This window comes from Homo sapiens, chromosome 3 (assembly GCF_000001405.40).
Source record: "Homo sapiens chromosome 3, GRCh38.p14 Primary Assembly".
NCBI classification, from domain to species: Eukaryota; Metazoa; Chordata; class Mammalia; order Primates; family Hominidae; genus Homo; species Homo sapiens.
The window spans coordinates 194,425,046-194,448,085 of record NC_000003.12 but is presented as its reverse complement, the minus strand read 5'-3'; the positions used below and the strand labels follow the sequence as shown (position 1 = coordinate 194,448,085).

Sequence of the window (23,040 nt, the reverse complement as noted above, 5' to 3'; positions counted from 1 at the left end):
AAAGAGAGATTCTGTTTTGGGAGATAATTCTCATTTTCTTATAAAAATATCAATAATTGTCTTCTTTTTTTGAAAGGATTTAGTACTTCCAAAGGACAGCTTGTTCGTTCCATATTGTATCCCAAACCAACTGATTTTAAACTCTACAGAGATGCCTACTTGTTTCTACTATGTCTTGTGGCAGTTGCTGGCATTGGGTTTATCTACACTATTATTAATAGCATTTTAAATGAGGTATGTATGTGGGACTCTTAATAGGGTTTGAACCTCAATTATTTATCATATGCAGCTATTGAGGATTTGAAATGTGGCTACTGAGAATGAGGAACTAAAATTTTAAGCTAATTTAATTTTAATTAATTTAATGCTAACAAAGTCATGAGACTAGTAGCTATGATATTAGAAAGCCCAGCTATAGAACATTTCCATTGTAAAGGATACTTCTTTTGGGTGCCTCTGGTTTAGATGGTCTTTTACTTGGTCTTGTGACTTTAAAAAAAAAAAACAGGAAAAAAAACCCCCCCACATAATCACCAAAAGCTTTATTTTCTCTTTTTTACCTCTGAGATGTAATATACAGTGTTAAAATGATTTGTGGTTAGTTAATTGAAGGCGCCGCTTGTCAGAAGTGGAGAGTGGTACAGTAAGGTGTGTGCACGCTGAGTCAATATCTGATAATGATTGTTGACCGGCTTTGAAGTGTGTCATGTGTGAAGTATGTAGCGCCTTGAAAATGAGATAAGTTTCTTTTGAAAGTAGCTGTCATTCTATAATCCATTGAGCTTTTTTATTTTGCAGAAATATCTGAAGAAAAAAATTATATATGGTTAATAGATATGTATATACACACACATACATAAAATTGAAATATACAATTGAAAATGGCTTACAGATTTTCACTAAAGAAATACCCATATTAAATCCGTAAATAATACTGGGGATTTGACATTTATTTTTGTGTTAATTGTAGGTACAAGTTGGGGTCATAATTATCGAGTCTCTTGATATTATCACAATTACTGTGCCCCCTGCACTTCCTGCTGCAATGACTGCTGGTATTGTGTATGCTCAGAGAAGACTGAAAAAAATCGGTATTTTCTGTATCAGTCCTCAAAGAATAAATATTTGTGGACAGCTCAATCTTGTTTGCTTTGACAAGGTGGGTTCAGTTTCATAGTTACTTTCAAAGGTTACTTCGTAGCGTTTAAATATTTAGATCAATGTTTTTTATTTTCTTTGTCAACAAATTTGGACACATTCTGTCATGTTCCTCTAATTTTCCTTTTCCTCCACTTATTTGGTATATGCATCATTTTTCTATACCATAAGTTCTCACTTAACATTACTGATAGGTTCTTGAAAACTGCAACTTTAAATGAAATGAAACCAGTTTTACCATAGGCTAATTGATACAAATGAGATTTAAGTTCCTATGCCATATTTTGGTCACAAAAAATCACCAAACTTCTAAATAAAGATCTAAAACACTTCTGATATTAATCATTGAAATAAATATGAGCTATACATTCATTTAAGAAAGAAATAAAAACAAGTAAGGTAATTATTTACCCAGTTGTTTTATTTCAGGCTCCTGGGTAGTGGGAGCGTATCTCAGCAACTGGCGGAACGAGGCAGGAACCAGCCCTAGACAGGATGCCATCGTATCGCAGGGTGTACTCACACTCGCGCAGACTGGGACCATTTAAATGTGCTGGTTCACTTAACTTGCGTAGCTTTGATGTGGGAGGAAACTGAAGTACCTGGAGTGAAACCCATGCAGACAGGGAGAGAACATGCAAACTCCATGTAGATAGTGGTCGCGGCTGGGCCTCAGCTCTCCCCACCACTGGCACCCATCGTGTTATAAAAAAAGACGGACAAAACAATCGTATTTGAGGACATGCTATATTTCTTATTTTCTCAATTTTTAATACTTTGGATATTGCTTATTTGCTCAAAGCTTCAGTTAACTCCAGAATTAGGCCTAGTAGTATTAATAGTAGTAGCAGTAAAGATTACGTGACCTTTAATTTTTTAGACAGTAATTCTTATTTAACACAATAGGCTCCATACATATATATTTATTATGATTTTATTGCTTGTAAGTGTGTATGTTTAGTGTTTGCTGTATGATTTTATTGAATATGTTTAAGAATTATGAAGGTCACTGATTTTATGTGAAAATGACAAATTATGTACCTGTGTGAAGTATATCTTGCCTCTTAGAAAGGTTTCTCCTTTCCTGAGCTGGAATTTTCTTTAAAGTTTTCTGAGAATTAAACTTTGACCAGAAAACCTTCTATCAAACTTTTCTGGGTAACTGATGTGATACAAATTTGATTTTTGTGCATTTCATTATTACAGAAAAAAATGGGAAACATGTTCTGTTAGAAAAAAATATGTCACATACTGCTACAATTATTTCATATTTATCAGTTCAAAAAATTTCACTTATGCTTGTCTTTTTTGGAAACTTTCCTAAAAGTTTTAAGACAAAAGTGGAGAAAAGATGTGTGTATAATAAACACTCATTTACTCATTACCCAGCTTTATCAGTTATCAACACATTGTCAGTCTTATTTTATCTATCTGCTCATTTTGAAGGGGACAGCATCAGACATTATTTCACTCATAACTACCTTAGTATGTGTCTAGAGGATATTTAAAATATCACTATCACATTTAACAGAATTAGCAATTCTTTAGTTTTTCTAATATCCAGTTGAGATTTCCTCATATCTCTAATTTTTACTAGTTGATTTTTCAGTCAGAATCCAAATAGGGATTACATTGCTTACAATTAACATGTAACAATTGCCTTTACTTACCCCTTATCTCCAGTTATTTTGTTGAAGAAACCAGGTCATTTACCTTGTGGATTTGGCCAGTTGCTTCCTCCTGATGTACTTTAACCTGTTCCTCTTGGCCCTCCTTATACAGTAATCCTTCCTTTTTTGCTTTATAGGCATCCTTTATTGATTGATAAGATAGGTTAACTGGTGCATCCTTCCATTGATTTTTTTTTTGATAGTATAAGCACGTAAATATATACCCCTCTCTGCCCTTACGCAGAAGATTTGTGATCATTGTTTGCACCCCCTCTCCCACTTTAACCATATGTCCTGGAAGCCATTCTCTGTCAGGGATCTTGCCTGTTTCTTTTTTTAACTCTGTAGAACTCCATTATGTTATATGTAGCATAGTTTCTAATGCTGTGTGGTTGCTTTTTATTTTTATTTTTGGGTTTTTTTTTGAGGCATCATCCATACTTTGTGCATGTGTGCTTTTTTGTTTTTTAGACTGGAACTCTAACTGAAGATGGTTTAGATCTTTGGGGGATTCAACGAGTGGAAAATGCACGGTAAATATTAGTTAGACTTGATAGTTTATTAGTTTATTTTTAATATTTTAACATGTGCAACATTCAAACATAAAGGAAGTAATAGACAACTGTGTACCTATACCAGGATTAAACCGTGGACATGTTGCCATATTTGCTTCAGATCGCTTCCTTTAGAATATTAAAATATTATAGAAGTTGCCAAAGTCCCACTGTATCCCTTCCCCAATTCCTACTGCCATTCTGAAATTATTTTTGCATATTTTATATTTTTTCTAAGTATAAATCTATAAATAAGTATCCATGAATGATATACTGTACATATGTTTTGCTGCTTTTTTCCCCTCTCCAAACTTTGTTTTCAAGATTTATCCATGTTGATATGTGCAGATCTAGTTTATTAATTTTAACTGCTCTGTCTTATTCCATTGAATGATTAAACCTTGTCTGTTCTTCTACTAAGGGACAATTCTGTTTTTTCTTCTTTTTTCTCTGCACTGTTGCAAATAGTGCTGGAATTAAAGTTCTTACACATAAGTCCTTGTAGGCATGTGGCTGAGTTTCAGTAAGCTAGATCCCTGTAAATGGAAAGGCTGGGCCGTAGCATGGGCACGGCTTCAGCTTTATGCTTTCTCTCTCAGTGGGTAAAGATCTTTTTACTCCACATTCTTGCCAAACTTAATATTGTCAGACTTGTAATTTTTGCCAGATGGATGGATATGAGTATTACATTGTGGTTTTTACATTCTTCTCATTTCTTATAAAATTGAGCATCTTTTCACATTTTGGAGGGAGGGTCATTTAGCATTCTTCTGTGTATTGTGTGTTTATATCCTCATTTTTCTGTTGGGAAGTCTATCTTATTTGTTAGAGGTCTTTTTTATTTTCTGGATAGGAATCTTTTTCAATATTGTGTATTGAAAATTATCCTATTAGTCTCTGGCTCATCTCTTTACTTTTGTTTCTGTTGCTTTTTGAAGCTCAGAAGTTTTACTCCTGTAGTTTTGTTTGTGTCTTCCCCCCTCCCCCTGTCAAAAGTCTGCTAAATTTTGGTGTATATAGCTTGAGAGACAGTATTGTTTGGCCAATGTAATTTCAAGAGTTGTTGTGTCTTGGAAAATAGTATGTCACGTTGTGACCTTTCTTATCTCTAGTAATGCATGTTGCCTTAAATTCTGTTTTGTCTTATAATTATATAGCTCTATACCAGCTTTCTTTTGCCTGATGTTTGCCTAGTGTGTGTTTTGCCACTTGTTTACTTTTCAGTCTTTCTGTGCCATGATGTGCACATTTATTCAGATATATTAGAAATTATTTCTACCATTGCTCCCCCAATTTACATACACATTTTCACATTCTCATTTTTTCTCTCATTTTCTCACTTTATGCATCCCAATCTTATACTGCTTGTTCTTACATTATCAATATTTATACTTAAAGTTCATGGATGTTAATACTGCCTTTTAACCACTCCCCTGCCCCCCAAAACAAACCTATGGACTGTAAGATACTTTTGGTTATTCTCCTCCCTTCCTATATGTATTTGTTGCATAATATTTTCTGATTATTATTTTGGTCTTATACAGTCTGCATGCTTAGATTTACCTAGGTGTACTAATGCCTTAACCATTGCATCTTGTGTAAATTGCCATCTTCTGTAACTACATTCATTTGCTTTGTTTCACTGTCACTCTTTTTTTTTTTTTTAAGTGAAAGCAAATTTAAGAAAGTAAAGGAATAAAGAATGGTTCCTTCATAGGCAGAGCAGCCCACTGTCACTTGGGTGGTAGTGTAACTATACAGATTTCTAGGTTTGACATTTGTGTTCTCTCAATACTATGAAGCTGTTATTTCATTTCTCTTAATACCTTTTGTTAATTGGTACTGATAAATCTTAGTCTTTTTAGTAATCTTTTTTTTCTCTGGTTGCTTGAAGAATATTTCTTCACCCTTAATTTCTGCAGATTCACTGTGATCTTTTTATTTGTGTGTACAGGATTCATGATGCTTCTTGATTTCATGCTTTCATGTTTTTCATAAATTCTGGAAAATTTTCAGGCCTTTTTTACTTCCATTATGGCCTTTTCCTTGTGTTTTGTTTTCTCTCCTTCTGGGAATCCTAACCATGTGTTGGACAACACATGGTTTACTTGGTTCTTTCCAAGTCTGCTCCCACCCCTACTCTCGCATCTACAGTGTCTTACTCTTTGTATGTCTAATTTTAAAATGCCCTTTTTGCATTCTTTCAGATTTGCCATTCTGTTATCTTAAATTTACGGGATTCTTTATTTTTTTATTTTAAACATAGGAATTGGTATGGGTGTCTCGCTATATTTCCCAGGCTGGTTTTGAACTCCTGGCCTCAAATGATCCTCCTGCCTCAGCCTCCCAAAATGCCGGGATGACAGGCATCAGCCACTGCCCCTGGCCAAATTTATAGGATTCTAATTCTGTCTTTGTTATGTCTGTTGACACTCTTGGTGAATTGTTTGCTAGCGCATCTTTAAATTATGGACTCATTCTTAACAGAATTTTCTTTGAGCTCCCCTCTGGAGAAGTTCTGACTTTGCTTGGCTAAGAGCCCCAGTGGTAATCAACGGTGTCATACAGGCTTTAACTGACCTCCTGTGTTTCAATCCTTGCTCTGCTACTTATGGACGGTGTAACCTGGGACAAGTCACTTAACCACCCTGCTTCAGTTTTCTCATCTATAATGGGGGTAATAAAACACCTTTTCTATGGTGTGAGGATAATGGGCCAATAAATTTAAAGTTCTTAGAATAATGCCTGGTGCATAGTAAATATTATGCAGATATTAGCTATTTTCTTGGACTTTGGGTGAGGAAAAAGACAAGCTTATTCATAATTAATGCCTTTAGGTCTGTGGGTGAATTTTTTCTCATCTGCCCTTTTCCCAAGGGCGTGTAGCTCTTCAAGAGTACTGGCTTTCCTGAGTCAGAGGGATCCTTTCAGTACCAGCTACCCACTTTGCATGGGGCCAGACTTTGTTTCCTGTCCTTTTGTGGGTATTAAATCCCAAGTTCTTAGTTTACTGAGATGGCCCCCTCCCTTCATCCCCCCAGCAGCCATAGCATCAGCTCAAGTTCACACCCCTCTGGTTTTCTTTTCCCTGTATTTCTGACACTTGACAGTTTCTCTTTCTTAGGAGCTCAGATTGGGATTTAAAAGATTTTTTTTTTAATTACAAAACCAGAAAAGCCCTGTTAGAATATTATCTTGAATCTTAGAATTTATGAAACTAATTCAGTGTGTCTTCTGCTTAGATTTCTTTCACCAGAAGAAAATGTGTGCAATGAGATGTTGGTAAAATCCCAGTTTGTTGCTTGTATGGCTACTTGTCATTCACTTACAAAAATTGAAGGAGTGCTCTCTGGTGATCCACTTGATCTGAAAATGTTTGAGGCTATTGGATGGGTAAGTCAAATATTTTAAAATACAAATAACTTTAGGAAAATAATAGTTAAAAATTAAATTACCTCATACAAGGATTATTTCTGCTTTTTGTTTTAATGACAGTCTATCTTGTACCCTAAAAGGAGCTATGTAATTTCTAAAGCTACATCAACTGGAGAAATATTTTAAAAATCATGCAAAAGTAACTTTTAGTTAACCCATTTAGTACACCTTTAATAGAGGCTGACCAGCTCAGGCCCCTGCTTTGTGTTTAAGGTAAACCAGGGGTCAGCAACTTGGGGAGGGTAGAGCAGAGCCAGTAAGATGATCTCAACTGACACAATTTCTTGGCCACAGGCAAAGGTGTATAAAGTCGTTTGTCTTCATTGCTCTTTTTTACCTGTCTTTTGTTTACTGTGTCCACATACATGCACATGTTTTTGTTTGTTTATAACTTCCTTCTATTTTTGCCATTGGGACTTTTAATTTCTAAGTGCCTGCTTACGTTCTCTGGTTGTTATCATTTTACAGCATTCAGTTCTTCTTTTATAAATACAAAGTCAGTTCATTTTAGAGTTCCCTTCTGGCTTCTGAATTATTTATTTTCTTTGAGGTTATGGTCTCCTCTGGCCCCCACCCCATGGCTGGTGTCTCTCCTTCATGCTCTTGGTTTTCATTGTACATCTGGATGGCACTTTTTTACTCTAAAAATGAAGATCTGATTTGGTAATTCTGCATAGCTGCAGTGAGCTACTTCAAATTTTACCCTTGCCCATATGTATGTTAGTGTTTCTGATCGTGAAGGCTTGTTGGGGGATGGGGGATGGTGCTTGCTCTGTGTCTGGTGGGGTCTTATCGACAGGGGTTCTTAAAGTTTCAAAGGAATAGTTTCAGAGTTAGCCTCTCCGTTGCTTTCCTCACCCATTCTCACCATGCTTGCACATGTGGAGCTCTGTACTCTGGAATCCTCACCCTCATGTCAGCAGCCTTTGCTCTGTCAGACATTCAGTTTATGTCTCTGGAGGAGGACTCCCTGGTTTTTTGTTTGGCTTTCTTTAGCTCAGCTACTCTGGCTGATAAGTGTTCCTGCCTCACCTGGTATCTTGTGTTTGTTCTGGGCTACTGTTTCGTTCCCGTTTGTATCCATCCATAGGTTTCAGTTTGCCCTTTGTTTCCATATTTGAAATCCCTTCCTTCAGGTTTGTTTTCTGTTTACATTTACAGGATCCTCCCTTCCCTCTTCCCTGCCTCCCCACCTCCCTCCCTCCCTACCCACATTTTGAAAGGGAGAGAGGGAGGAGGTGACTGGATAAGTGCTCCATCTGCCAACTACTGAAAGTCCATGGTAAACACTCTTGAAGTTTAATTCTGAAAAGGAGGCCTCACTTCATTTATAGAGAGAATAACAAAAATGGGCTGATTTATCGTTCTTCTCTAAGCTTTTCTCCAACTGAATAGATTTTCAGTAGATTTAGTGTTCAGTGTTGGTGTATCTTCAAAGAAATTAAGAAAATGTGTATAATGGCATATTTCATTGGCCCTGAGTTGCTTTGATGCTTGATCCCACCAGAGCTTACTTATCCGTGAAATGGTTTCACATAGCCAGTCACAACTGTGACTTGATGTGATTGGTGTCATATGATACAAGATGCAGATGTCATATGATACAAGATGCATCCCAGTTTTAGAGATGTTAAGATACGAAAAAAGGTGTCTTAGAATTGTACAAAATTGGCTAATTTTTCACAGTTCCCTATTGTTTTCTCATTTATTGATCCCACTAATTATAGTGTGTGTTTAATATACGTTTTTCTTCGAATGTTTTTCACCAAAAAAGGTTCTTTAAAGTATTAGCTTAACTGGAAGTATTCAAGCTGAGAAACTCTAAACTCATATCTTTGTGCTTTAGCCTGTTCTTGACCCAGCGGTTCTGCTAACCATATCTGAGCTCTATGTACTTTTGAATCCTTTCTTGGTAGCAGAAAGGAATCACTGGATGAGCCTGAAAATTCTGGGGACTACAAGAACCTTTTATCTTTTGCAGAGCTAGTCTCTAAACCCAACAAGTTGTAAGAGTGAAGTGAGATCAGTTTCTATTTCTTTATTCTGCTTCTAACCCTGAATGAAGCAACCCTTCTCCCATGGGTTGCTAGGTATCTAACTCACCATCTTTGTTCATATTTTCTTTTACTTATGTTAGTGATCCAGTAGTGCTCATTTGTTCCTTGGACATACATTTTTTTTAATTATTGAAAATGGCCATAATGTTCTATTTAAAAATGGAACCATGAATTCAGTTTTATGAAGCAGTGCTTGAATGTTGTGTTTTTGTTTTTTTTTGTCTCTTTTTTTTTTCCAGATTCTGGAAGAAGCAACTGAAGAAGAAACAGCACTTCATAATCGAATTATGCCCACAGTGGTTCGTCCTCCCAAACAACTGCTTCCTGAATCTACCCCTGCAGGAAACCAAGAAATGGTGAGAAATCACTTAAAGCTAGATAAAACTGTTGGTGGTTACTTATATTTATTTTTAATTTTTTTCAATTTTTATTTTTTATAGAGACAAGGTCTTGCTATGTTGCCCAGGCTGGTCTCAAACTCCTGGGCTCAAATGATCCCCCTCAACCTTGGCCTCCCCAAGTGCTGGGATTACAGGTGTGAGCCACCACCCCCAGCCTGCTTACTTACATTTAATTCTCATTTTGAAATGTTGCTAGAAGAGGAAGTCACAAGTCCTTTATTTAACTCTTATGCAGAGATAGGAATATTTTAACTGCGTTTATCAGAAACTACACCTCTGTGTTGAGATATAATTCTCAGTACTATCACTTTTCTTTCCTGTTTACTGAGCAGCTTAGTGCCTTGTGATTTATACAGCTGGTGGTTAATCCTCTTAAATTGCATCTGTATTCCTAGAATTTAATAAAAAGTATGTATGAAAGGCTTTACTTTTAGGTGAATTTTTAAATATATTCCCCTTAGTTTATTATTACTATTTTTTAAGTTACCTGAAATTTTTTTTACATGTATAAGTATTACATATCCAAGAAATTTACCAAGATTCTAATAAACACCACTTTATCTTATTTGTATAACTGGTTGGCAAGATTCTGGGTAATTCATTTTCCTTCCTGTTTATATTTGTTCTTTCCAGAGTTTATTATTATTTTTTGAGCTGGAGTCTCGCTCTGTCACCCCGGCTGGAGTGCAGTAGTGAGATCTCAGCTCACTGCAACCTCTGCCTCCTGCGTTCAAGTGATTCTCCTGCCTCAGCCTCCTGAGGAGCTGGTATTACAGGCGCACGCCACCACACCCGGCTAATTTTTGTATTTTTAGTAGAGATGGGGTTTCACCATGTTGATAAGTCTGGTCTCGATCTCCTGCCCTCAAGTGATCCACCTGCCTTGGCCTCCCAAAGTGCTGGGATTACAGGGGTGAGCCACTGCGCCCAGCCAGCCTATTATTTTTTAATTTTTATTTTGTGTTTTTTGGTATGTACACTTGCTTGCACCCCTTAGTTTATTTTAGTACTTAAAATGTTAATATTTTCAGGATAGCAGAACATTTGAAAATATTTAAGAACATACTTTTTAAAAATGGGAAGTAGTATAGAAGGAATCTTGAATCCTGACTTTGAAAAACAGTTGCTTGTTTCTTTTCCAAATAATGTTTTGTGGATGCTTAGTAAACTTTTTCTAACTTTAGTGTGTTAATAGAGTTAATCTGTACTATTTTTTCTTGTTTTGTTTCGTTTTTAGGAGCTGTTTGAACTTCCAGTAAGTGAAGAATGTTTACTTCTTACTAAGTATATTTGTTTTGATTCTTTAAGAATATTAAGTGCTTTGTGCCTCTTTTGAAATGATATAGGCTACTTATGAGATAGGAATTGTTCGCCAGTTCCCATTTTCTTCTGCTTTGCAACGTATGAGTGTGGTTGCCAGGGTGCTGGGGGATAGGAAAATGGACGCCTACATGAAAGGAGCGCCCGAGGCCATTGCCGGTCTCTGTAAACCTGAAACAGGTAAGGAAATATCTATGCTTTGGGTACAATTCTGGTATTTGAGTAAACTTGTATTAGCAACTCTAACAATGAAATTTACTCTTTCTTTTAAAAAGTTCCTGTCGATTTTCAAAACGTTTTGGAAGACTTCACTAAACAGGGCTTCCGTGTGATTGCTCTTGCACACAGAAAATTGGAGTCAAAACTGACATGGCATAAAGTACAGAATATTAGCAGGTGAGGTTGAACGGCTTTCCTAGTTTCCCAGTCATCATCATTTATGGTTATATTAGTCATGCACAGTAATTTGCATGTAATTGAGTATTTATTGAATGTATGAAAAGATATCTAATATAATATTGTTTTAGGTGATTGAAGTAAAAGTACATTTTCCCCACTGCCTGATTTCCTTTCATTCTGGGTTTTTTTTTGAGAGACAGTCTCACCCCGTACCTAGGCTAGAGTGCAGTGGCACTGCCGTCTCGGGTCACTGCAACCTCCGCCTCCCCGGTTCAAGCGCAGTGGCGCAAGTCTCGGGTCACTGCAACCTCCACCTCCCCGGTTCAAGCAATTCTTGTGCCTCATCCTCCCAAGTAGCTGGGATTATAGGCGGGTGCCGCCATACCTGACTAATTTTTATATTTTTAGTAGGGGTTTTTGCCATGTTGGCCAGGCTGGCCTCGAGCTCCTGGCCTTAAGTGATCATTCTGTGTTGACTGTTTACCTATGTTTCCTTATGTTATTGTAACATCATGTTTTTTCCTTAGAGCTCTTTGAAACTGTTTTCAATTTGTTAATTATTATGTGCCCACTATGTGTCAGGCACATTCCAAGAACAGTAAATGTAATTTTTTAGAAGTTTATTTTCACCAATTGATCTTCTCACTTTTGCCCAGTGGTTGGATATAACTACTAATTTGATCAGAATATAATGAGTCATAGTAACCAAGCTCCTCCCACTCCACTTCTTTCCTAATCCCCAGTACTCTCCATGTCCCCCCGTCAAATGACAGTGTCATATTCAAGGATTGTCACTTTGACTGTAACTGATACAGACCTACCTTGGAGGATAGCATTTTTGTTTAGGAATATTTCATGATGTACCTAGCATTTTGTAAGCAGAAAGGAGTGTCACTTGGCTGTCCTGCTAATTCTGCCTATTTGGGGGAGGTGGTGAGGTCTAAGCATGAGTTTAAAAAAAAAAAATGAAAAACCTCTACCCAAATTATGTGATACATATGCATGTCGGGAACCACAAATGGGTATAATATTATATCCTAATTCCTACTAAGGACACATTAGTCTCTTCTTAATTTATAGCTTCACACTAGCAAGGGTGCTAGGGGATAAGACAGTGGATGCCTTTGCCATTTTCCCCCATAAACACTAATTACTGAATTGCCTACAGTTCTTTTTTTTTCTTTTGAGACGGAGTCTCGCTCTGTTGCCCAGGCTGGAGTGCAGTGGCACGATGTCAGTTCACCATAGCCCCCGCCTCCCGGGTTCAAGCGATTCTCCTTCCTCAGCCTCCTGAGTAGCTGGAACTACAGGTGCACACCACCATGCCTGGCTAATTTTTGTATTTTAGGTAGAGACAGGGTTTCACTATGTTGGCCAGGCTGGTCTCGAACTCCTGACCTTGTGATCTGCCCGCCTTGGCCTCCCAAAGTACTGGGATTACAGGCGTGAGCCACTGCACCCGGCTGCCTATAGTTGTTAGGTGTGTCATCTTGAGACATCCTTCCATGACATTGGATAGACTGTTCCTTGTGCTGAGGATACCCTGTCCCTCCTTGTTAACTTTCCTCTCTTTCTCTACTCCCTTTCTTCTTTACTCTTCCACCGAGACCTCTGTGTTTCCATTTGACCTTGTAGAAACAGGTTTTAGCATTTCCCTTATAGCTTAAGCCTTTATATCTTGAATATTGGACTATTCACTAACTAGAGGGTAAGATTTCCTTGACCTGTATCGTTCATACGGTGTGAGAGAGTTAGGAGACGAGCTGAAGCCAGAAACTGGGGCCTGAAGGAAAGCGGCTTAGTGCTTTTGACACATTGTCTTCACATTGATACAGCTTTGGGCTTTGAAATACAATTTCAGGTTTCAAGGCTTTTTCCTGCTGTTAAAACCAGCAGTTTCATTTATATTAATTTTCTCAACTATTCTCTAATATCCTTACCACCCATTGTTAGAAATTAGGTGTTTCAAAGATTTTAGATTTCATAGATACATACTTCAAGCAACTTTTATTGGAATTTTGTCAGAAAAATCATTTGGTTATTCCAAGTCTGAAATTCTAGTCTCTGACCTCAGACCCTCCTCCTTCCCCATTGAGAAAAAAATTTCTATGATATAATTCAGGTAGGTTGAGGTGTTTTTTGTTTGTTTTCTTTTTTTGTTTGTTTCTTTTGAGATAGGATCTCTCTTTGTTGCTTAGGCTAGAGTGCAGTGGAACAAACACTTCTCACTGCAGACTTGACCACCTGGGCCTTAAATGATCCTCACTCCTCAAGCCTTCCAAGTAGTGGGACTGCAGGCACATGTCATCATGCCCAGCTAATTGTTTTTTCATTTTTTGTAGAGACGGGGTCTCACTATGCTGCCCAGGCTGGCCTCAAACTCCTAGGTTCAAGCAATCCTCCTATTTCAGCCTCCCAAAGTGGTGGGATTACAGGCATGAGCTACAATGCCTGACCTGAGATTTCTTAAGAACGTAACTATCACTGAACAGACTTCATCTCTTTTATAGTGCTAAAGCACGTACTATTTTTGTGTGCATCTCTTTGGTTGCATGTCTGTTTCCCCACCCAAGTGTCTTGAGAGCAGAGATCATCCCTTTTTGTCTTTAACCTCCCAGTGACTAGCATAGTGCCTGCTGCATTCTTGATACTCAGTTATTTAAAGAATAGCATCTTGATAACTATATTAGTAATATTTTCAAAGACCCATCTCTGGGTCCCAAGTAGATCTCATTGTTGGATTGCTAATGGTTCTTGTGTCACATTTTCAGGATCAGTAATTGTTTTATAGAATTGATCTGAGACTTGATAATGAATCCACGAAAACTGTATTGAATGTGCTTGTGGCACAGTTTTTTCTTTTTCACTTAACATTTAAATTAGGATATGTTGTAGAGGGCAGTAAAGAATAGATTTATGCTTATTTTTGGATACTACACAAAATGAATATTCCTTAGTATTAGAATTGTTTAGTGTACAGTGACATACATTTCCAAATGATTATTATATTGAGATACTGAACTCTTGAACACACACGTGGTTTATTCAGCATATAAAATGTTTTCATTTATAGATATTTTAAACTGCATTATAACTTATAGACATTTTTAATTGTTTAGATATTTCAAGTTTGTGTACATAAGTTGCTTACTCAATTGACTAAACCATTATGTGTTAAAACTTCTTTTTCTGCAGAGATGCAATTGAGAACAACATGGATTTTATGGGATTAATTATAATGCAGAACAAATTAAAGCAAGAAACCCCTGCAGTACTTGAAGATTTGCATAAAGCCAACATTCGCACCGTCATGGTCACAGGTTAGACTTTATAAAAGAACACAGAAGCAAATGGAGTGTGACAGAGCTGAAGTTATATTATATTGAGGGATAATCAGTTATAAAATCATATTATATAGTCTATAGTGGTTTCAACCTAAGTTCTCTTTTAGCTCTGAATATTTTCCCAAGCGCAAGATAACTTTGTCATATTCTTTTTGAGGTCTAGCGAATCCTATTTATAGAAAGTGTAGTAGAATAGTAAAAGTACGGCCGGGCGCGGTGGCTCACGCCTGTAATCCCAGCACTTTGGGAGGCCGAGGCGGGTGGATCATGAGGTCAGGAGATTGAGACCATCCTGGCTAACAAGGTGAAACCCCGTCTCTACTAAAAATACAAAAAATTAGCCGGGAGCGGTGGCGGGTGCCTGTAGTCCCAGCTACTCGGGAGGCTGAGGCAGGAGAATGGCGTGAACCCGGGAAGCGGAGCTTGCAGTGAGCCGAGATTGCGCCACTGCAGTCCGCAGTCCGGCCTGGGCGACAGAGCGAGACTCCGTCTCAAAAAAAAAAAAAAAAAAAAAAGAATAGTAAAAGTACACTGTAAAAATTTAAACTTGACTCCTTTTTGTTTTCTCTCTTTATTCGTATATTTCTTATAGCACTTATTGTACCTTGTGTTATTTGTAGATTTGTTTTCTGTACTAGAATATAAGATTCTTGAGGGTTAGGAGTATATTTTACTCATGTTGGGGTCCTTTGCAACTTTTAGAACTGTCAGCTACATAGAAAATGATTAATAGATATTCGATAGCATGAAATGTTTATATGTAAGATATTGTTTATTACCCTAGCTTGAATTCTAGTGAAATAGCCTACTTTTTTTTTTCTAGTACATCTAAGGGATTCTCCTGATGTTACTATACTGTTGATAATATTAGATAACTCTTACTCATTAGCTGTGTGAAATTGTGGTAGCTCTGTTTTTTGTTTTTTTTTCTTAGCAGATAATCAGATTTAAGATACTTAATGGCACTTACGTGTTCAGTAAGACTAATATGGAGAAAGTCTGTATACATTTTTGTGTTTTAGACTCTTGAGATCTATCTAATAACATAATTTTACCGTATAACTCAAGGTAACTAAGTCTGTTAGCATTCCAGCCATTCTTAGTTCTTGCGTCTTCTTTGTCAAGACACTTTTCACCTGTTCCTCGTCCTCCTCTTTTATTTATTTATTTATTTTCCCCTTGCCAGAATATGGCTTTGTGTACCAAAGGTCATAGGAAGATATTCTTGGAAATAGTGTGTGGAAATTGAGGAAAGAAATATCTCGCTCTTCTGTTTTGGTAGCAGTGGGATCCACAAACCTTTGTCTGCTTCTCCTTAATAAGATCCTGTTCTTGCTGCTCTTCTTTCTTCTCATGACTGAGAAGTTGTCTCTCTTGTTTCTCGTTTACACCTGTTCTTATTACCTGTCTTACCTTTTTGTTTTGTATGATCTTGCTTTTGTAATTCATCATTTTCTATGATATGGTGCTGGTGTTCTTGCACAGACCACTAGTCACTTTGTAAAGTTATTTCGGTAAGTATTTATTGAGCCACCTGATCTGTGTGTAGCACCGTGCCAGGTATTGTGTAGATACAAATAGTGCATGACTGGAAAAGATTGAGAATTATATTTGGCTTTAAAAATTGTGGGTGAGATGTTTTCTTTAGCATATAACGTGCTTGCGTTATTTGAGGCTTCTTTTGATAAGTATGCTCCAATTTTGTTATTTTTAAACTGTAAGTGGAAGAACCATACATTATCGTTACTCTGCCAGCCCAGTCATGGAGACTGTAGTAGATTCTCAGCAAGTACATGTTTGATACGTTCACGTTTCCATTTTAATTTCAATACATTTAAAATATTTTGAAAATTAGGTGACAGTATGTTGACTGCTGTCTCTGTGGCCAGAGATTGTGGAATGATTCTACCTCAGGATAAAGTGATTATTGCTGAAGCATTACCTCCAAAGGATGGGAAAGTTGCCAAAATAAATTGGCATTATGCAGACTCCCTCACGCAGTGCAGTCATCCATCAGCAATTGACCCAGAGGTAAGGTCAAGATCGACTGTCCGTTTTAAAGTTTGTTGATTTAAATTTAGTCTGAAAAAATAAAAAAAGTGGTGCATTAAAACACAGTAAAGCAAAAACTAAATGAAAACAGAAGTCAGGGCTATTTTTTCAGAGATTATGTTTCATTAGGACTGGGACAGACCCAGGAATCTCAATGTTCAAATTTTGATATTTAGCTAAGATGAGAAGCATAGTTTTAAAGTACAAGAATTCCAGATGTTTATCGTATTCTTCAGGTAACTAGTGGTAAATGATGCAGGTGGTCCATCATACTCAGTTCATGCATCATTTCAAATTGAAGCTGATATTTAATTGAGTTTCTTTTTACTTTGAATAAATGTCCGGCTTTCATCATGTTGTGGAACATATCAAATGAAAGAATTCAGTTTTAGAACAAATATGTTTAAAATAGAATTGTTTTACTTGGTTTGGTTGCCTAAATATTGTTCCCAATGTCTCATATACACAGGCTATTCCGGTTAAATTGGTCCATGATAGCTTAGAGGATCTTCAAATGACTCGTTATCATTTTGCAATGAATGGAAAATCATTCTCAGTGATACTGGAGCATTTTCAAGACCTTGTTCCTAAGGTAAGTAATTTGGGTGTATGTGTGTGCTCACATGAATGCATCGCAACAGTATTTTAAAAAAATTTGTATTATTGTTTCCAGTTGATGTTGCATGGCACCGTGTTTGCCCGTATGGCACCTGATCAGAAGACACAGTTGATAGAAGCATTGCAAAATGTTGAGTAAGTATTGGTGTCTTTTTTGGTTTTGGTTTTTGATGAATGATGGTTTCATTTCAGCATCAGAAAAATAATTTTTATATGTTTCTTATACTAATATTTCATATTTATATATATAATTGTGATCTATAAGATAGTTCAGAACTTTAAGTGCCGCTTTAAAAGAGTCTCATGTGCTTTTTATTTAGCTAAAGTACAATATCCACAGTTTTTTCTCTATGACTTCATTCTTTCAGGTGCTCTATCTTGATAGAAGTGGCTAATCATTTTAGTAAACAGTTATGTTTCAGGTTATTAAGGGATAAATTTTTACTGATAACGTTAAAAGTAGCCATACTAAAGACTGTAGGCACAAGCGCTTTGCTCTAAAGATGAGGAAATTGAGACACCAAAATGATTTGCCGATAATGTGACAGAAATAGGACAATAACCTAGCTCATTTCACTTGTGGTCTGGTGCTGTTTGCAAAGCAGCACACCTGTGTTCATTATAGTGAAAAGATTCATAGTTCCACTGGGGGAATCTTGGTGTGTTAGCTCTTTATAATACTGTAATAGAAAAGTCTTAATAAGTTAAATGTTTTGTAGTTTAAGAAATTAATTAAAATCTTAACATTGTTTTGTTTCTTAGTTATTTTGTTGGGATGTGTGGTGATGGCGCAAATGATTGTGGTGTAAGTATAGTTTTTGTGATTTAGTTTTATAGTTCTTACTCTAGCCTAAATCATATTCACAAAACTTAACCAGTTTTCTTAAAATTATTAGGCTTTGAAGAGGGCACACGGAGGCATTTCCTTATCGGAGCTCGAAGCTTCAGTGGCATCTCCCTTTACCTCTAAGACTCCTAGTATTTCCTGTGTGCCAAACCTTATCAGGTAGTACAAATTAAAATTTTTCTCATCCCTTTTTCTCTGTCTCTGATAATACAGAAGAGAAAATTATCATAAAAAGTAACATGAATTTGTTTAATATTAGCAGATTAGCACATTTGAGCTGTAACTTATTAGTAACAGATTGATTGCTACTCCTCATTTGGTTTAGTTCTTTTGGTGGATAAGCACTTTGTTGTAGCCGTTGAATGTTGATGTTCATCTGTCAAGATAAAATTGTGGTTTGGAAAAGGAGTTTAAAATGCTTCTATTCATATGCCGACATTTGATTTCTTTTCACAGGGAAGGCCGTGCTGCTTTAATAACTTCCTTCTGTGTGTTTAAATTCATGGCATTGTACAGCATTATCCAGTACTTCAGTGTTACTCTGCTGTATTCTGTGAGTATTAACATTGTGTGCAGAGATAACACTTAATGTGCACCGTAAATTAAGATGTTGAGCGTATGTGTTTGATTTTGAATGCATCCATTAGTAATTGTTTCTGTGAGTAGTACCTATAAATTTACCTTCAATTTACTGTAGTTTGAATAGCAAATTGAAAAAGTTAAAATGAGAAAAGATGTTTCAACAGTGGTTTGTTGAATTTGGAGAATGGTTTGCATTTGGAGAAAAAGTATAAACAGCGATGGCCACAGGTACCCTATCAGATTTTATAATCAAAGTGTTCTGACATCCTAAAGACTCATGGTGACACTATCCCATTTGACCGTTTGTAGAAAGTATCAGAAGGGATGGTATTAGATGAAGATACTAATTTACAACGTTGAATATTTTGAGTAAATGTTTGTGTTTTCTTTTTGCCAAAAAAACCATGTTGGCCAGGGTGGTCTCGATCTCTTGACCTAGTGATCTGCCCGCCTCGGCCTCCCAAAGTGCTGGGATTACAGGTGTGAGTCACCGCGCCCAGCCTATTGAACGAATTTTAAGGAGATGCCTTTTATACTAATATACTAAATCAAATATTTATAAATATATGTTATATTTAGTTTCAGAGACACTTATATTTCAATTTTTAAGCAGGTCCGAGTGTCATTTTTAAGTTGTCATTATAGGGAAAATCCAAACTATTAATAAAACCTGGGGACGCTATAAAAATAATTCCCAAAAACTAATAATGTTTTTAAAATTACTTCTGTAGATCTTAAGTAACCTAGGAGACTTCCAGTTTCTCTTCATTGATCTGGCAATCATTTTGGTAGTGGTATTTACAAGTGAGTATTTTGCTTTGTTATTGATTTTTAAAGTGTATGAAATTCTGATGTGACTTATTAAATTTTTGTAAATTTACATCAACAATTGTAACATAGCTCACACCTCTCCAGATTCCTTGTAAATATGTTATTTTATTACCAGTTGTTTATATCTTGCGCCAATTTTTTAATTGTTCTGTCTCTATTTTTTTCCCTGAAATATTTGAAAATAAGTTTTGAGTCATTATGCTCTTTTGCCTCTGACAATTTTAGTATATATTTTCTAAAAGCAAAACCATTCTTTTATGTAACTAAATACAGTTGTAAAGATCAGGAAATTTAACATTGATATAATATCTGGTGCAAAACCTATATTCAGGTTTTGTCATTTGTGTCAACAATGTCCTTTATGCCTATTTTCCCGTAGTCCCCTAGATTAGAACAAAAAATATCTCCAGACATTGCCAGATGCTCCTTTGGGGTGCAAAATCCTCCAGTTGAGAACCACTTATCTTTAGTAGATGATAAAACTAGTGAAAGTTTGATGAGGAGCAGGATTTTCACAGTCTCAAAGTATCTTTTCACAAGGTGCTAGTTACAAAGGGAAAAATAGAAATTTCTTTTTTTCTTTTTTTTTTTTTTTTTGAGACAGAGTCTGTCTCTGTCACCCAGGCTGGAGTGCAGTGGCACGATCTCAGCTCACTGCAACCTCCGCCTCCCGAGTTCAAGCGATTCTCCTGCCTCAGCCTCCTGAGTAGCTGGGATTACAGGTGTGCACCATCATGCCCTGCTAATTTTTATATTTTTAGTAGAATCGGGGTTTCACCATGTTGGCCAGGCCAGTCTCTAACTCCTGACCTCAAGTGGTCCGCCCGCCTCGGCCTCCCAAATTGCTGGGATTACAGGCGTGAGCCAGTGTGCCCAGCTGAAAAATAGGAACTTTATAGTGGAAAACTTGTGTATACCACCTTAATAAGTAATGAAAGCCTTTTTGAAAAATGTTTCTGCTATGTTTATATTGCTTCAAACATTGTGAATATCGTAAGAGGAAGAAGTGTGTATTATTTTAACTGTAGTTTTGCAATTAAAGATTCAGAATATAATGGCCTCTTAAATATATGAGATGATTAACTTTATAGTTATTGTGTTTATATTTAGTTTTACTATTTTTTAATTTAAAATTATTTATTTATTTATTTATTTATTTATTTATTTATTTATTTATTTATTGTAGAGATGGGGTTTCACTATGTTGCCCATGCTGGTCTCAAACTTCTGGGCTCAAGTGATTCTCCCACTGTGGCCTCCCAAATTGCTGGGATTCCAAGTGTGAGCCACCGTGCCTGGCCTAGTTTTATTTGTTAATATTACTGCTGAATTTCAATAGAAATGTAAAAATTATTCCTGAGGCGTTTTTCAAAAAGCCTACACTGTTTACTTTTACAGATTATTTAAATATGTACGATATGTGGCTTGGTTTTTGAAGATTTTTTGTATTAAAGAATTGTTAGGCAAAAACAAATTTTTAAAGTTCCTAAATGAATCTAGTTATGCCTTATATAGTGATAGATTAATGTAAATACAAACCTTTCCTCTTTTTCTTTTCAATATAGTGAGTTTAAATCCTGCCTGGAAAGAACTTGTGGCACAAAGACCACCTTCGGGTCTTATATCTGGGGCCCTTCTCTTCTCCGTTTTGTCTCAGATTATCATCTGCATTGGATTTCAATCTTTGGGTTTTTTTTGGGTCAAACAGCAACCTTGGTATGAAGTGTGGCATCCAAAATCAGAGTAAGTTGGTCAATCTATGTAAAAATCTATATAAAATATGTGCAACATATATGATATAAAAATGAGTTTAGAAGTTAATATAAAAGTTTGTGCCAGGTGCGGTGGCTCACACCTGTAGTCCTAGTACTTTGGGGAGGCCGAGGCAGGTAGATCACTTGAGACCAGGAGTTTGATGACTTGAGACCAGGAGTTCGAGACCAGCCTGGTTAACATGGTGAATCCCCGTCTCTACTAAAAATACAAAAATTAGCCGGGCATGGTGGTGCCTTTCTGTAATCCCAGCAACTTGGGAGGCTTGAGGCAGGAGAATCACTTGAACCTGGGAGGCAGAGGTTGCAGTGAGCCAAGAGATTGTTTTTTGAGACAAAGTTTGCATGCAGGCTGCTTTAAACACTTACATAATTTGGCTTGTATTTGCCTGTATATCACGGTCACGCCTGTCTTTGGGAAGATGTTCAGGCAAAATCCTAATAATCCTACCAAAATGGGGATCTTAGATCAGTTTCTTAATTTGTTACTGAGCCTTACTTATCTGTAAAATAAGAAAGTTGGAATTAATCTCTGGGGCCTCTTCTAAACCCAGAGTGTTTTGTATTTCTAATCTTTCATCCCCCAGTTTAGGAAATGGCATTTTAAAACTTAAGGGGAAAAATAAATTAGGTGCATTTGCTTTTCGTAGAGTGTAGAGTGCTTTACGGATCACAAATTATAACATTTTAATTAATTAAACGTGTTAATTTTGTAGAATTAAATTTTCAGATGTAAACATTTATTTCTAGTTTGCTTGACTGAGGGATATTATCTTTAAAATTTTTAGAAGATTGTAGGAGATTTAACATTACTTTTTTTATATGTGCGTAGAAACACTGCACATGCAAAAAAAAAAGAGGTGGAATTTTCTTGAGAATCTTCCCATAGTTCACTTGCAGCATAGTCTGTTAATCACGTTTCGTGAGCACTTACCTGTGTTTATAATTCATGCTTTAGTAATGATTGTTGGGGACTTCTCATCGTTAGCTGTTTCTGTGCCTGATGGTCCTGCCTACCTGAAAGTAGAAATGAGGGACAGCCATAGCTGGAGAATATTGAGGGACATCTCAGCACCGGGGACTCGCTAGGCATTTGCATGAGTCAACTTGTGATGTAGGTACCAACATTTAACCAGCGAGGAGGTAGGCTCAGGGAGAGTGAATAATATTTCCTCAGTTAGCACTGAAAAGTGATAGTGCTTGGGTCAAGCCCATTGTCTCTGTTTTCACTCTGCTAAAATTACTCCCAAAATTAAAAAAACTGAGGGGGGCTTATTAAATATTTCCTACTTGATTCTAATTTTTTAAGTGGTTGAGATGTCGGACTGAAGAGAAAACCCTTCATACTCTTGTACCTGTTTTATATATCTTATATTGATATTGTTGGACCTTTTGCTGTAAATATCATATTTCTATTTGTTATGATAGTGATTCAGGGCAATTAAGGTAAGATTGGTTTCTTTTGGGAAATGAGTATTATGTTTACTAATGCAGACATTTTTTGCATGTGTTCTAGTGCTTGTAATACAACAGGAAGCGGGTTTTGGAATTCTTCACACGTAGACAATGAAACCGAACTTGATGAACATAATATACAAAATTATGAAAATACCACAGTGTTTTTTATTTCCAGTTTTCAGTACCTCATAGTGGCAATTGCCTTTTCAAAAGGAAAACCCTTCAGGCAACCTTGCTACAAAAATTGTAAGTTTGGCATTTATTGTGATTTCCACCCTGCTTGCCCCTTTAAAACTAATGTAGAAGAGAATAATTATAACTGTCTTTGCCACAGTAAACCAGATCTTCACAGATAGAATCAACTTAGTGATTTAGATGTTTACCGTTTTGTTTTACTTTCATTGGTAGTTGCCACCCTAAGTTTAAAGTTCAAGCTACCAGTGTTAAGCACTGTTGTTTTTCACATCATAGTGCCTCTGGCTCCAGCTTTTATTTCTGCAACCCATTGTGGAGGGAGTTAGGATGGGAAGTGGAGACGGAGG

General features: G+C 36.5%; 1 protein-coding gene across 22 annotated transcripts in view, besides 2 other annotated features; it reads left to right on the top strand.

The window, feature by feature from the left end:
* The window catches only part of ATP13A3 (ATPase 13A3), a 91,658-nt gene that overhangs the window by 46,249 nt on the left and 22,369 nt on the right, over positions 1-23,040 (top strand). For 20 of the 22 annotated variants that reach the window (XM_047448912.1, XM_047448909.1, XM_047448904.1 and 17 more), the window contains 18 exons: positions 77-234; positions 971-1,159; positions 3,300-3,361; positions 6,625-6,775; positions 9,114-9,230; positions 10,513-10,530; positions 10,622-10,775; positions 10,871-10,991; positions 14,190-14,314; positions 16,194-16,369; positions 16,860-16,982; positions 17,064-17,143; positions 17,771-17,813; positions 17,905-18,014; positions 18,312-18,408; positions 19,169-19,241; positions 20,834-21,011; positions 22,557-22,744. In XM_047448912.1, the coding sequence (XP_047304868.1) occupies positions 77-234; positions 971-1,159; positions 3,300-3,361; positions 6,625-6,775; positions 9,114-9,230; positions 10,513-10,530; positions 10,622-10,775; positions 10,871-10,991; positions 14,190-14,314; positions 16,194-16,369; positions 16,860-16,982; positions 17,064-17,143; positions 17,771-17,813; positions 17,905-18,014; positions 18,312-18,408; positions 19,169-19,241; positions 20,834-21,011; positions 22,557-22,744 (2,163 nt within the window). The remainder of the gene's footprint in view (positions 1-76; positions 235-970; positions 1,160-3,299; positions 3,362-6,624; positions 6,776-9,113; positions 9,231-10,512; positions 10,531-10,621; positions 10,776-10,870; positions 10,992-14,189; positions 14,315-16,193; positions 16,370-16,859; positions 16,983-17,063; positions 17,144-17,770; positions 17,814-17,904; positions 18,015-18,311; positions 18,409-19,168; positions 19,242-20,833; positions 21,012-22,556; positions 22,745-23,040) is intronic. The other 2 variants (NR_164667.1, NR_164666.1) reach the window with 2 other exon arrangements.
* Positions 84-1,283: an enhancer, noted in NCBI's record as "CDK7 strongly-dependent group 2 enhancer chr3:194167532-194168731 (GRCh37/hg19 assembly coordinates)". NCBI's record gives its function as "activates an origin of replication core promoter dependent on BRD2, BRD4, P300/CBP, MED14 and CDK7 cofactors, with strong dependence on CDK7, by STARR-seq in HCT116 cells {active_cell/tissue: HCT116}" and the evidence as "EXISTENCE:reporter gene assay evidence [ECO:0000049][PMID:35650434]".
* Positions 8,560-8,760: a silencer, noted in NCBI's record as "peak4979 fragment used in MPRA reporter construct". NCBI's record gives its function as "represses an SCP1 promoter by STARR-seq MPRAs in K562 erythroleukemia cells {active_cell/tissue: K562}" and the evidence as "EXISTENCE:reporter gene assay evidence [ECO:0000049][PMID:32103011]".